The following is a 13980-nucleotide window of genomic DNA, read 5'->3' as shown; positions in this document are numbered from 1 at the left end:
TTGAGGGATTCAACATAATATCTTAAAATGACCACTTAATTTTAGTAAAAATAGATTCCCAGCTTCTGTTAATTGACTATAACTATGGTCTGAGAGTGATTAGATTTTAAAGTGTGTGTGTGTGTGTGTAAAATTCTCACAGGAAAATCAATAGTAGTGCACTGCACTGAAGTGTAATGAGTTTTACTCTGCAGTTTGTCCTGCTCCAGAGATGCCAGGCCAGTAAGTTACATGGAGTAAGTTCACATAACACGACTGGCTTTATAGACTCTAACCATTTATTTAACAAAATGGAAATTTCTAATATATAGCACTTTTCTACATTTAAAATTTTAGGGAGGAGAGACTCATGTTCTACAGTATACATTATTACAAAAGAGTTCATTATAAATTTAAATCAGCTGAAACAATTCCTTTAATGATTAGGATTCATCATCCTTTAGTGCAGCGAGGTGACATTTTGTGGAAAGCATCCATGGCTCTTCGTCAGAGATGTCTTACCAGCACAACCTTCCTTCACTCTGACCTGTCCATCAGAGGATTTCCTTTACCAGTAAAACAGATGGAAGTCCATTTTTCTCTTTCGGTTCCCAACTCAAGTGTAGATCTTTTAATTTAGGAAAGAACTCAAACTTATATAAACTAAAGAGTGGAGGTTGTTGTTTTCATTCTGTTTACTCACACACTGCTCTGTAAAGTCAAGGTTTTCTTGTCGATTTTGCTCACATGCTGATTGCTATGCATGCAGCCATCATTAGTGCAAATGCGCGGGAGACTTTTTGAATAATGTATAGCACCTAAAGGAATGAACAGCAGACCCCCCCAAAATTCAAATCGCTGTTCTTGCAAATTCTGAAAGCCAAGGATCACTTGTGCCTTACAGAATCCGGGGGCTCTATCCCCAGGTGCAAAGTACATTTTCCAGGTTTCTCCAGGGCAAAGGCAGGGTGGACACCCTCATTAAACCTGTGCCTGATGATGAAGAGCAACTGCTCGCTCTCTGCGTTGATGAAGATAAGTCTCTGGTTGTTGTAGTCCAGCAGGATGCCCACTCTGGCTGGACGCTCAGTCACATGAACATCACTCACAATACCACTGTAGAAAAATGTGTATCTGAAATGAAAGCGAATGGGAAACATAAAACTCTGGAAATCTCAAGGAATTTGAAAAGGAAAGTCACTTGGGAATAACCAATTCTTCAGTTATTAACTCCACTTCACAATAAGGAGTTGCAATAATGCTGTCCCAAATACTTCACTAGATTTCTTCTAGATGCTAAAATGCAGAGCTTATCCCAACAGATGAGCATGTTTAATAATTTTGCTCCTCCTACATTAGGAGGCAGTCCCAGAATAGCCAACATATGCCTCCCTTGTGATTTATCTCCACATTCTAATTCTCTCCCAGCTGCCCACATGTTTTAACTACCGCATTCATGGCGTGTCATTCTTTTGAATAAAACTCCTTTGAGGCTGCCATGTATTTTTAAAAGTACCGTAAGCTTGCCTTCCATACAATGTATTAATTTTACAGTTTTAAAATTTTATAGGTAACTTACATAAAGGCCTTTATGAAGTTTAAGGAATATTTCATTATTTTGCCAACTTCATCCTTTGTTTCTGCTCCCCCTTCCCCAAACCAACTCTCCTTTTCATTTTCTCAAGGTTTTCTGCAGCCTTGCCACCAGCGGGGTTGCCTTTGATTCCTCTCTTTAATTCAGACAAATTCAACTCAACAACTATTCCTTGTGCATATCCATGTATCCAGCACTTTACTAGGCACTCTGGGGCATGTGAAGGACATGAAGTGCTGTCCTTGCCCTCTGGGATCCCATACTGTATGGAGCAGGAAGGAAAAACTGCCCACATTTGAAACTCGGACCACGGCTGGGAATGCCTCTCAGGGTGTAGATCTTCAAGTGTTTACTAGACACATTTAATGAAGCTGTTTTGGTTGTGAAGGGAAAGGTTCAAGGCCAGGCTGGAAAGGAGAAACTGCTGACCAGAAAAGCTAAATTGCTCTATGTAAAAAAGTAACACAAGTTTGGGGTTTTCTCCCAGTAGTCTTAGAAACTGAGAATGGGGCCCTGAAAGTAGCGGAAGGAGTGGAATGAGAGATGGAAGAAGAGAGATGAGGGAAAGGTCGACGGATGTGTAGGCTGGAGGGGTGGGAGCACAGCAACACCAGGGCAGTTTGGACCTAAGAATCTGGGTAAGCGACGGGTCTGGCAGGGAGGGCTGAGGATCTTCAAGACTTGCAACAACTGTCTTAAGGCTCAGAAGCTCAAGTGCAAGTATTTAGGGGATGGCAAGTTGGCAACTTCATTGCAGAAAGAAGCTCACGTGGAAGGGCAGAGGTTCACGGTGGTGGGGAGATAAGTGAGACTTTTGAGTTGATAAAGGACCTTTTCAATGCCTTGCTAATGAGAGAGATGCCAGAATACTATGATGTTCTGGAACCTGCAAGACAGACTAAACGTTTCAGGTAGCAATGATGGGGACTGGCAGTGTGAGCTGGGCTCTTACAGAAGGCTTTGGGAGCACAGGGCTCACACTCAGCCAGAAAGGACAGGCAGGACTTGAATAGGTGAAAAAGAAGGAGAAAAATCCACACAGTAAGGGCAGCAGCAGTGATGGTAAGGTGGCTGAAGAAGTCCGTATGTGGCAGAGAACATCACCATTGGCCTCTTGGGTTTGGACAGGACATGGGGGTGACTTTTAGGATGTTACGTGGATAAGTAAGTCAGGGGCCAGGCTCTAGACTTGCCCTGTCTAATATAGTAGCCACTAGACATGTGTGGCCACTTCCATTAAAATTAAAGTTAATGGTGGAGAATGGGATAGAGATACTCAGATGTGGAGATAGTGTGGTGGCTTCTCCTTGACAATGAGATAGGAAGGTGCCAGCAGCCAAGAAGGAAAAGGTGACAGACAAGACCAGGAGGGCCATTTGAATAGGGCCTCATATTTCACAGAGGGCTTTATAAATTTGAATTTTTGACATTTCTTTCAGATATGGGCATATATAAAGTCATTGCCTTTGTCACTGCAATTGTGTCTGTTAAAAGAATTACTATGTGAAATGTAAGTCCTTAGAGTAAATTTTAATAACCCTGTTAACTGGCATTTCTTTATTTTTTATAATAGTATTTTGAGAGTTCCCAATTAGTAGAAGAGTCTTGGGTCTCTTTCAACTTCCAAGAGGCCCTAGTCCTGAGAGACAAGGGTGAAGGAGTTCTAGAGGGTCTCACTCCAGTGGTTCCTAGTACATATTTGTGCAATGAATAAATGGATGGTTGGTGAACAGTCCGACAGCAGAGAAGAACCAAAGGGCAAGTGCAAACCAAAGAGTTGGGAATAAGGAGGCATTAAGGTTGGAGAAAATGGGAGCTGTAGTGATCATTAGTATGTACAGGTTGTTAGCAAATTAACCATTTCTAGATTGGAAAATACCTGCATTTTTTATGTTTTGTGCAGCTTATATGAATCTATGTATTCTTACATTTGAATAAACATGAGACATATCACACTTTTCATATATATTTTATCAACATTGCATAGCTGAGAAAATGGCTACATATTAAATTAAAATAAAATATCCTAGTTTTTAAATTTTATTGATCCGTAACGTTGACATGTTTATTTAAATGTAAGAATGAATGCATAATACTAATTGTTGAATAAATGATATAAAATAATGACATCATTTATTATATATTAAAACATGCTCTTCTTATCTTTGTCAGTAGACTATTAGCTTCATGAAGGTAAAACTCTTGGTCTGGGCTGAGTGTGGTGGCTCAGGCCTGTAATCCCAGCACTTTGGGAGGCCAAGGCAGGCAGATACCTTGAGGTCAGGAGTTAGAGACAGACTGGGTAACATGGTGAAAATCTGTTTCTACTAAAAATACAAAAGTTAGCTGGGGGTGGTGCCACGTGCCTATAGCCTTAGCTACTTAGAGGGGTTGATGTGGGAGGATTGCTTGAGCCCAGGAGATCAAGGATGCATGGAGCCATGTTTGCACCACTGTATATACTGTCACACACACAGAACAGAAACTCTTGATCTGTTTGGTACTCTGGTGTATCTCTAGTGCCTAAAAGATAACCTGGCACAGGACAGGTACTCAATAAACATTTGTCGAATGAAAAAAAAAAATTAAAGTTAAACAAAATTTAAAATTCAGTTTTTCAGTCCTACCAGCCACATTTCTAGTGTTTAATAGCCACGTGTGGCACCATTTTTCTATTATTGCAGAAGGTCCTATTGCATAACGCTGGTCTGGAGGGTTCTGAATGCCTAAATGTGTCATTTCTCCTCCCCTGTTTGGAAGGTCCCCGGTCCCTACAGGCCCAGCGTTGGTCATTCCTTGAGCCAATCCCTACCTGGGAGGCCAAGTAGGGAAAGGTATTCCCTGAATCCTTGTCTCCACCAGTTCTGCAGGACACAGAACCTGACCAGCCCTGCTTCTGTCTCCATTTCTGGCCGAGCACACATTCCACTAACCTCAACTCTGGCCTGAAGCCAAGCCTGCCTGCGTGGGGCCTGACTCTCTGCCTGGCTGGCTTTGAACAGAGACCTGGCTGGTCTCTTCAAAAAATAATCATCCAGAAGCCTGGCTCTAAACACTTGCACGATCTTGGAACTGCCTCCCCTCCTCCTGGTGGACTGAGGACCCTTACTCCCTTGAGTCCCACCTCTGGCCCACACTCAGCCCAGACCCCTTTGGACTCTGGTGGTAACTCCCCTCAGGACTCCTTGCCCCAGACTGGCCACATTCTTCCTGGCTGCCCCTCTTCACTGTGTCCTGCAGGTGGTCCCACCCAAGTTCTGACACCACTGTAGATGTTTGTAGATTTTTGAGCAGAAAAGGCAGGGACATGATGAAAATGATGTTTTAGAAATATTTCCCAGTTGCGAGTGGGTAGAGACTAGAAGTGAGGGTGCAGGCTGGGTGGCTGCTGCTGAAACTGCAGAGGAGGTGCGGAAGCCTTGAGCTAGCATGGCAAGTTTAGGAATGGACAGGAAGGAAACCAGCAGACTCTCCTGAGATGATCTTCACGCCTCCTTCCCAATTGTGACATCTGAAAACCTAGATTCTGTGAGTAGAATCAAGAGTGATGTAGGTTGATTTAAAATCATTAAACCAGAAAAAGTAGAAGACAGGAGGGGCTGCCACAGGAGCGTTCTCAGAGTCCCAGAGGCCAGGGTGCCCCATGTGAAGCCCTCGAAGGATGACATGAGGGCCCTGAGACCCTACCTGTCAGTGCTGAGACCACACAAAGGGACACACTCTTTCTCCCAGAATCTATGGCACCCACTCCAAGCCTGAAAGAGCCAAAGGCCAAAGCTGTAGGTTGAACTGGTCAACAAAATACATAATTTTGTCTTCTAGAGCCTAGGAATTTGTTATTGGAGGTTAGCCCTTGGTGTGGGCTTTTTAAAGATTTGAGGGTGTACAGACATTTTCATGAAATTAATATGTAGTTTCAGCTCTGAATCTACTAACTGTAAACTGAGTTTGAGTGATTTCAAACTCTGGGTAGGGGCTGGGTCCTTATGCATTGCACAGCACTGAATATCAATTAATCATAATTGCTCTGACTTGACGAAACGTGACTTTAAGTAGTGCTTGGAGATGGTGTCCTTATGAACCATCTCAGAGAATCAAACTGTCAAGTAGGATGCAGGGAGAAATGTGCAGCCAGAGATATGCAAAATCCCAATCTGTGGGCCTTTTCTGGGAACTTGCAAGCATTGAAGGCTTCTTTTTAAAGGATTACATTTGAATAATGCCTCACATTTGTATGATACTTTACCGTTCCTAAGCTCTTCCCTGTACCTGATTTCATGTGATCCTCACAGCCCCACAAGGTAGCAAGCCAGGCATTACTGTCCCCTGCTGAGCTAGATGATTTAAGGTATGCTCAAAGGGTTAACCCACTTATGGCAAACAGCCAACAGGAGGCTAATTGAGGATGGAGCCAGACCTCAAACTGGATTCCTGGCTCCTAGTCCAGTGTTCTTTCTATTAAACCATACTGTGAGCATATTCAGATCATAATATACCTGCCTGATCGCTCTGAGACTAACACAGGCTAACGGCTTTTTCACATCAACCAACCAAACAATACAGGTAATATAGAACAGAGATTGGCAAACTTTTTCTGTAAAGGGACAGATGTAAATATCCTAGGATTTGACAGACATCTGTCACCTCTGCCACTGTAGTGTAATACAATACATAAACAAAAGAGCATGACTGTGTTTCTGCAATTTTATTTACACAGACAGGCAGCGGGTTCTATGTGGCCTATGGGCTATAGTTTGCCAACCCCCGATATGGACCAATGTGGAGGGAGGTGTTGGAGATCCACTTCTTCCTCACTCCTGTTGATTCCTTCTCTGTGGAGGGACTCCTTTTAGCATTACCCTTGTGGTCTCTCTCCACCCTGTGGTGAGTTCAGAAGGAAAAACTGTGATGCAAAACCCAGCTGCCCCTCCCTCTTCCCTATCTCTTACCCACTAGCTACCAGGGAGACATACATCCTTCTCTGCTTCTCCAGGCACCAACTCTGCCCTGCAGAGCAAGGAAGCTGACCTGGCCCAGGCTCTGGTTGGGTAAGTCTGCCTCATAATAGGGTTTAATATAAGAAACCCTCTTCAGGTATGATTCACACACTCTAAAATCAGCTTCCTCAGTAATCAGAGTCAGAGTTTCATCTCCATATACTTGACTCTTGTTTTCTTTCTTAGTTGGCTCAGAAGTTGAGCATGGAAGTGGGTGCTATTTATCAGGTCCCTCAGAGAGCCCTGCCTGGACACCCAAGCATAATATTTTGATGAAGAGGGGAGGGGAAGGGCTCGCTTACCTCTGTGGCTCAGAGCAGTGCATGTACCATGAGGTCTCCCCTTGTCCTAGGGCACCTGCCTGCACAGCCGAGCTGGAGCAGATGCCGAGTCGATATGCTGGGCAGTCTGTGACTGTGGTTTCCCAGTAATGCTGGCCACAGGAAGGCAGCTCCTCACCCAGCACTGACGGGATTCTGTGGGTGAAGTCAATCAGAGTATGCTCAGTGCAGGAATCGCCGGCCTGTATCTCATAAGCATAAACATTCACAAACTCACACAGTTTAGGCAGGATTCTGCCCTTGGAAACTGCTGGAATTTAACTAAAGATACTCTGTTCATTGTATCCCTAACCTTAACCAGATCACCACAGAACTCTCCAAACTCTCAACAGGCATTTGACATATTGCCAGTCACATACATACAACATGCATGTTGTACACTGCAACTCTTAAAAGAGCTGGGAATCAGGAAATAACTAGAATAATGGTAGGACAAAAAGAAATGCTGCAGTCTCTGCCTTTAAGGTGACTTCTCTTCATAAATACAAGGGAAGCAGGTAGGAAACATAATTTGCATAGTTTTCTTCCAAAACTTGCAAAAAAAGAAATCTCCAAAACTTTAACCATGAGTTCTATGCCTCCTGACCTTACTGGACACAGCCACCAAATGAGGTGCAGCTCTTAAATGACAAGGTAGCTAGTGCTGGCCAGTGCCAAGTGTGGAATTAACTGAGTATAATTAGCGGTCAACAGTCTGCAAGATTCTGGCCTCTTTGAACTGTAGTAGGTGCCCTTAAGAGGTTGGTTGAAGGTTTCTTTTTGTCTCACCTTAGCTATTTTTATAAGCACCTTAGTGAAATGAACCAAAAGCACTTTCAACTGCTGATGGGTGACCTTGTTTGCAAGAATTGCTCAATTTTGCTTGGAAATGGCTGAGACAGCAAGGAAGCATTTTTAATTTAAGCAGTGTTAATATTCAGTCAGCACTCTCTCCCTCTCCCCTTTAACAGATGAGAAAATGATTAATGCAAGGGAATGTATTCCACTTTTCATGTCTTTACTCAACCTCATTTCAGAGAGGTGGCTACTGACAAGCCCTCACTCTGGAGCAAGGCCCAGCTGTCTGATATTTATGACCTGATTTTCAGGTTAATAATAAATAAAATTCTATAAAACACATTACAGTTATCATCAGTTATTATCTGTGAACTCTTACCCTCCTCCAGTCTATTTATTTTCTTTTTGATGTTTTGAGGAATCCAAAAGACAGAAAAGCTCAATCTATTTCTTCAATCTATTTTTTCCCTGAATTCACTCATTTGTATATTTTTTAGCCCCTGCAATGTTCCAGGCCCCATGCTAGATTTGAGGGATTCAAAGATACACAAGACAGGGCTGCTGCTTGAAGATGATGATGAGTAAGTGGCTGACAAATGACCCCACAAGTTATCTGTTCTTTTACACAGGTAAGATCAAAGGGTGCCAGGGTCCAGAGAAGCCTTGGCCAGAACTAGGAGCAGGTAACACCTGAGCTTGGCCACAGACAGGCAAGTAGCAATGTGACAGGGAAATAGTGAAAGTCACTGCTGGCTGGCTCAGTGCCTTCTTGGGAGCACCTGCCAGCCACCGACACCAGGGCACAGCAGCACCATCAGCAGCCTGTGTTTCCCGTGTGTTACAGTTTTCAAGAGTTTCACATACCTTCTCCCATTTTGCCATTTTGTTCTGCAAAATAACCCCCAGAGCTTGCAGGCAAATTGCAGGGCAGTTTCCTCCACCCTATCCTCCGCCTTTGCCTCTTCTTTTCTTTGATGCTTCCTTTTGCGGGAGCTACTACGGAAGCAAGATTCTGTGGCCAGAAACTAGGAACTCAATAAACTGTCCTTCTCTTCTATGCCTTTTTTTTTTTTTTTTTTTTGAGACAGAGTCTCACTCCCAGGCTGGAGTGCAATGGCACAATCTCAGCTCACTGCAACCTCCACCTCCGAGGTTCAAGTGATTCTCCTGCCTCAGCCTCCGAGTAGCTGAGATTACAGGCGTGCACCACCACACCTGGCTAATTTTTGTATTTTTAGTAGAGATGGAGTCTCACCATGTTGGCCAGGCTGGTCTCAAACTCCTGAACTCAAATGATCTGCCTGCCTTGGCCTCCCAAAGTGCTGGGATTACAGGAGTGAGCCACTGTGCCCAGCCTCTTCTATGCCTTTTCAAGAGGGTTGATAAAATATCTGGTTTGCTATAGAAAAATAATAAAAGAATTACTGGACCCTTTTTTTCCCCCACTGAACCAGAGATCATACCTTAAAATAGCCAATGTTTTAACCAAACCATCTGTGCTTATATTTCCAATAAAAATATTGACACTTGCTCCAAGTGATGAACTATCGCTCGGTAGGGAACCACAGCCGAACAGTGTGGATGTGCACACATTGATATTTGAGACCACATCCCGACATGTTCACTGCACCATGAATATGCTCAGCGGAGGCCACCCTGAGGCGACACACCCTAAGACCCTACTGCTGGGCCATCAGCCCACTTGTGCTTTCTTCTTCTACTTACTCCGTCAGCCGTCTCCTCTCACCAAAGCTGATCACTGTCCCACTTGAGGAAATGTGTAGAGCAGGATGAGCTGTTTCTCTCAACAAGAGAAATCTGGTTCCTATTGCAGGTGAGAAAATAGTATTAAAACATTGCCACAAGGACCAGTGCTGTCCCTAGGCTAAGCCCCACATTTCAGACCCTAGACTCTTTCCCCTGACGTCAAAATCCCCCACGAAGTGTCTTCAGATCCACAGCTGAAAACTTCACTCATGATAAGGCCTTCGTGGATGCCGGTGGCTGGTTACCTCTACGTGGTGCCATAGGCACGTCCTCACGGTGTACCCTCTATTAGTGCTCATCTGCTGTGCAGTGTGCTCCTTGCACCAGCAGCATCTACATCACCTGGAAACTAGTTACAAATTCAGACTCTCGGACCCCACCGCAGCCCTCCTGACTTCAAATCTGTATTTTAACAAGATCCTCAGGAAATCTGTGTGCATATTAAAATTGGGGGATACAGGCCGGGTGAGGTGGCTCACGCCTGTAATCCCAGCACTTTGGGAGGCCAAGGTGGGCAGATCACAAGGTCAGGAGCTCGAGACCAGCCTGGCCAACATGGTGAAACCCCGTCTCTACCAAAAATACAAAAAATTAGCCAGGCATGGTGGTGCGCACCTGTAATCCCAGCTACTCAGGAGGCTGAGACAGGAGAGTAGCTTGAACCCAAGAGGCAGAGATTGCAGTGAGCCGAGATCGTGCCATTGCACTCCAGCCTGGGCAACAGAGCAAGACTCCATTCGAGAAAAAAAAAAATGGGGGATGCACCGATATAACCTAAAGGAGAGACTCTAACAATGGAAGGACAGGCACCATATTGGGACTGTGGGGAGAACACTGCTGGGAAGACAGCCCTCGCATCTTCTCTTCATAAACATCAGGCTGGCCCTGACTATCTTACAAACGAGGCAAAAGCACAAGATGTTTCTGGGTAAGCCGATCGCTTGTTGCGCCCACTCAACCTTGTGCCAGCTCTGTGTCTAGGATAAGATAATAAAATGGTCCTCTTTCCATTCCTCACTTCCTTTCACAAAAATTGCAGAGACAAACATTTTTTGTTGGCATCATCTAGGTATTTTCCCAAAAATGTCATTGAATAGTTTTATCACTTCCTTGAATTACTCTTTTGGTCATTCATTCAACAAACATTAACTATCACAAATTATGTGCCAGGCATCAAGAATAAACAGAACAAGGCTGGTAACTTGTTCACAGAGTTCAAAGAATATCCCCAACCTACCACACATACACACACCATATCCACAAATTATAACACATTGTGAGTCTGATAAAAATCATCTGGAGAGGCCAGGCATGGTGGCTCACACCTGTAATCCCAGAACTTTGGGAGGCTGAGGCGGGCAGATCACCTGAGGTCAGGACTTTGAGACCAGCCTGGCCAACATGGCAAAAACCATCTCTACTAAAACAATCCAAAAATTAGCCAGGCATGGTGGACGTGCCTGTAATTCCAGCTACTTGAGAGGCTGAGGCATGAGAATCACTTGAACCTAGGAGGCAGAGGGTGCAGTGAGCCAAGATCATGCCACTTCACTCTAGCCTAGGCGACAGAGTGAGACTCTGTCTCAAAAAAAAAAAAATCATCTAGAGAGATTTCTAAAAACATAAATGTTTGAGCCCATCTCCAGATCAATTAAATCAGGATCTTCAGGAGTGGAGGCAGGGAAACAGTATTTTTTAAGCACCCTGGCTGATTGCTAACAGGTAGCCAAGGCTGAGAACCTGTAAAGCAGAAAAACAAAAGAAATATCTTGACCTTTGACCAACCTTGGGTCCTCATGACAAAAACCTACCACTGACAGTAGGTTGGGAGTTTATAAAGTTGCCCTCTAGGACATCTTCTCTGAGGGGTGGAAGGGAAGAAATAGCTTGGAAATAGCTCACTGTGTGCAAAGGAGAAAGTACCTCTGGTGGAGATGAGAGCAGCTTCACTCTGTTCACTTGTCCCAAATGCATTGATGGCCCTCACATAGAAAAAGTAGTTATCATTGGGTTGGAGGTTAACTTTCAGCTGGAGTCCTTTGATTCCAGAGAAAGATCTAAATACAAGAGGAAAATAATAATTTTAAACATAATGCCACATGCTAAATGATTCCTATTTCAATTTGGTAGTGAATGAACATCTTTTATTAGCAACAAATAACTTATTTTCTTCCCCTTTTATGACCACTGGATTAGCAAGCCAGGTCCTACAAAATGGCCATTGTCCACTAAGATTACTTTATCAAATAATTTCTATTATGTGCCTTCCAGAATGCTCTTTGCAACAGAACCAGACACTTAAAAAAATTCAGAAAACAGACTACTCTTGTGGTTAGTGAATCTCCAAGAATATATCATTTTCTTTATCAATTTCTGGCCAGAGGGCACTTTTGGATTAAGATGATATTAAACCAATCTACGATGATTTTGTACATGATCATCATGCTAAAGCCACCAAAGTTAATAGAAACCAAAGATCTTTAAAGAAGATGAAATCTTTTAAAGCAAACTCGATCTTGGCAAGAAAAGAGAATTCTAATTGCAAAAAAAAAAAAAAAAAATTCTCAAAGTTGCTGTTCCTAAATTGCCTATTTAAATTAAAAGAAAAATGCTGATAGTGGTGTCTAATTGGCAGTGGGCTTGGCAAGTACACTGTTAACAGCCCCACCACTTAATACAAATGGACTTGCTGGATTTGAAGACGGAGCTCTCTGAATCTGCCAACAAGCTAGAATAGTTTTGTGCTTCTTTCCTATTCTCTTTAATCTGTTTGATATCATAGCCTAGAGCATGAATTAAGAAAAAAAAAAAAAAAGCAAGCAGGGCTCTTTCTTTAAACCTCCATTTGGAGAGTCCTTAGAGTTACAAGTTAGATTCCTTGCTAATGAAAGTTCCTAACCTGGGTGCTGGAGAGCCAGAGTCCTGCAAGGAGATATAATTGTCAATGAATACAATAGTACAATAGCCTTCATGTTCATTCTCAGAAGGGTAGGGTTTTTTGTTTGTCTTTGTTTTTTTTTGTTATTGATGAATATACCACAAAAGCATCAGAATCCAAGAGTGGTCACTGTTCATCCACAGATGAATTTTTTTCCAGGTTATTTCTACTTTTGCTGACTTATTTCACTTCCTAATACCTGTCTTAGAGAATAACATGGAGAACCAGAAAAACGAAAAAATGTTCTTGGCCCAGAAAACAAACAAATTTCAAACTTCTTAAAAGCAAAACATTTGTACAGAATAACCACCCCACCCTGACCCCATGTCTAAAAGGACAAAACTCATGTTGTGCTCCTCAGAAGGCAGGGGTAAGGGGACACCCTGGACCTGCTTGTGTAACTGCTGTTTAGTGCCAATGTCTGGAAAAGGTCAGTGCAAACTCCTTGAATCATATTGGTTGTTATTTTAGAACTGATCACCTGACCAGGCCCTCAGGAGAGGACTGTCCTTAGATACACTCAGACTGGATCAATGACACTGAGTCCCACGTCCACTGACAACTAATTAGGCTTCAGTTAATTAATGAAAAACCATGTCCTATGATTGAGAATGTAATTTCTGACTAATATCTAGAATATTATTCTGGGGTAGATGTATTGCTTATCTTATTGGAATTGATGACTGAAGAAATGTTTTAAATGAACATTAATTATAATTAGTAACAAAATTATTGTCTCACTAAGCATAGTCAGCCTGAACTGAATTTCAGACTTCATTTGCTCCCTAAATAAATATGTATTGATCACTTATCATGTGCCCAGGCCCTGTCTCTGCCTGTTATTCTGAGGGCTTGTTGAGGAGGCGGGGGTGGGAAGGGGAAAAGTGACAAGGATTGGTGGGGAAATTTTAGCTTTAGAGACAAAGACAACACACTGGCTTCATTTTATAACAACACAGTTGTTAAACAGCAAGGATACTGTTTTGTAGGTAAGTGTTTGCCCTTAAGATGATGAAGTCTGTCAAGGAGAAAATTCCACATATATAGTCAACTGCATGCTCTGTCTCATTGCTCATTTAAAGAATAAAGGTTTACATGGTACTGAAGTCAAAATATGGGATCCGTCCTGCTTTCAGTGCATGAAACAGGTCAGGCAGATTTGACAAATGTGCACAATGTCCTCATTGAATCTGTGAAATAAAAGCAGCAGGCACGCAAACAAAAGTAATACGAAATGTGGTGGTGTTTTATTGTATACAAGTTGCCACCTTATGCTCAAGCACCAAGAACAAAGCAAAAAAGGTTAGAACAAATGGTTCGTTTCCTTGTCTACTTATTCTGACTCCACTCAGATGTCACCAAAGTCTTCATGTCAGCTGTCCCTGCTTTTTAGCCTAACAAAAACTTCAAAAATTCTGGAATTTGAGATCTAAAGAGTAGCACTCTTCCAGAGATTATGATTTTTTTAATTTTAGAAACAAAAATTTGTCCTAATTGTAACTAAGTCCATATGACTTATAACAAGCATTGCATAGTTTGCAGTAGAATTCAAGTTCACAGAATACCCAAACTAAGGTGAGTGATCAG

General features: G+C 42.8%; 1 protein-coding gene across 1 annotated transcript in view; it reads right to left on the bottom strand.

Moving 5' to 3' along the window:
• Window positions 1-260: 260 nt before the first annotated feature.
• CMYA5 (cardiomyopathy associated 5) overlaps window positions 261-13980 on the bottom strand; it is a 110387-nt gene continuing 96667 nt past the window's right edge. The window contains exons 10-13 of the mRNA NM_153610.5: window positions 11379-11512; window positions 9414-9513; window positions 6873-7046; window positions 261-1113 (exon numbers count right to left, since the gene is read on the bottom strand). Of these exons, the coding sequence (NP_705838.3) occupies window positions 867-1113; window positions 6873-7046; window positions 9414-9513; window positions 11379-11512 (655 nt within the window). The 3' untranslated portion in view covers window positions 261-866. The remainder of the gene's footprint in view (window positions 1114-6872; window positions 7047-9413; window positions 9514-11378; window positions 11513-13980) is intronic.

This window comes from Homo sapiens, chromosome 5 (genome assembly GCF_000001405.40).
Source record: "Homo sapiens chromosome 5, GRCh38.p14 Primary Assembly".
Taxonomy (NCBI): Eukaryota; Metazoa; Chordata; class Mammalia; order Primates; family Hominidae; genus Homo; species Homo sapiens.
Note: the sequence above shows the minus strand (reverse complement) of the source record. Positions and strands in the feature narration are given on the sequence as shown.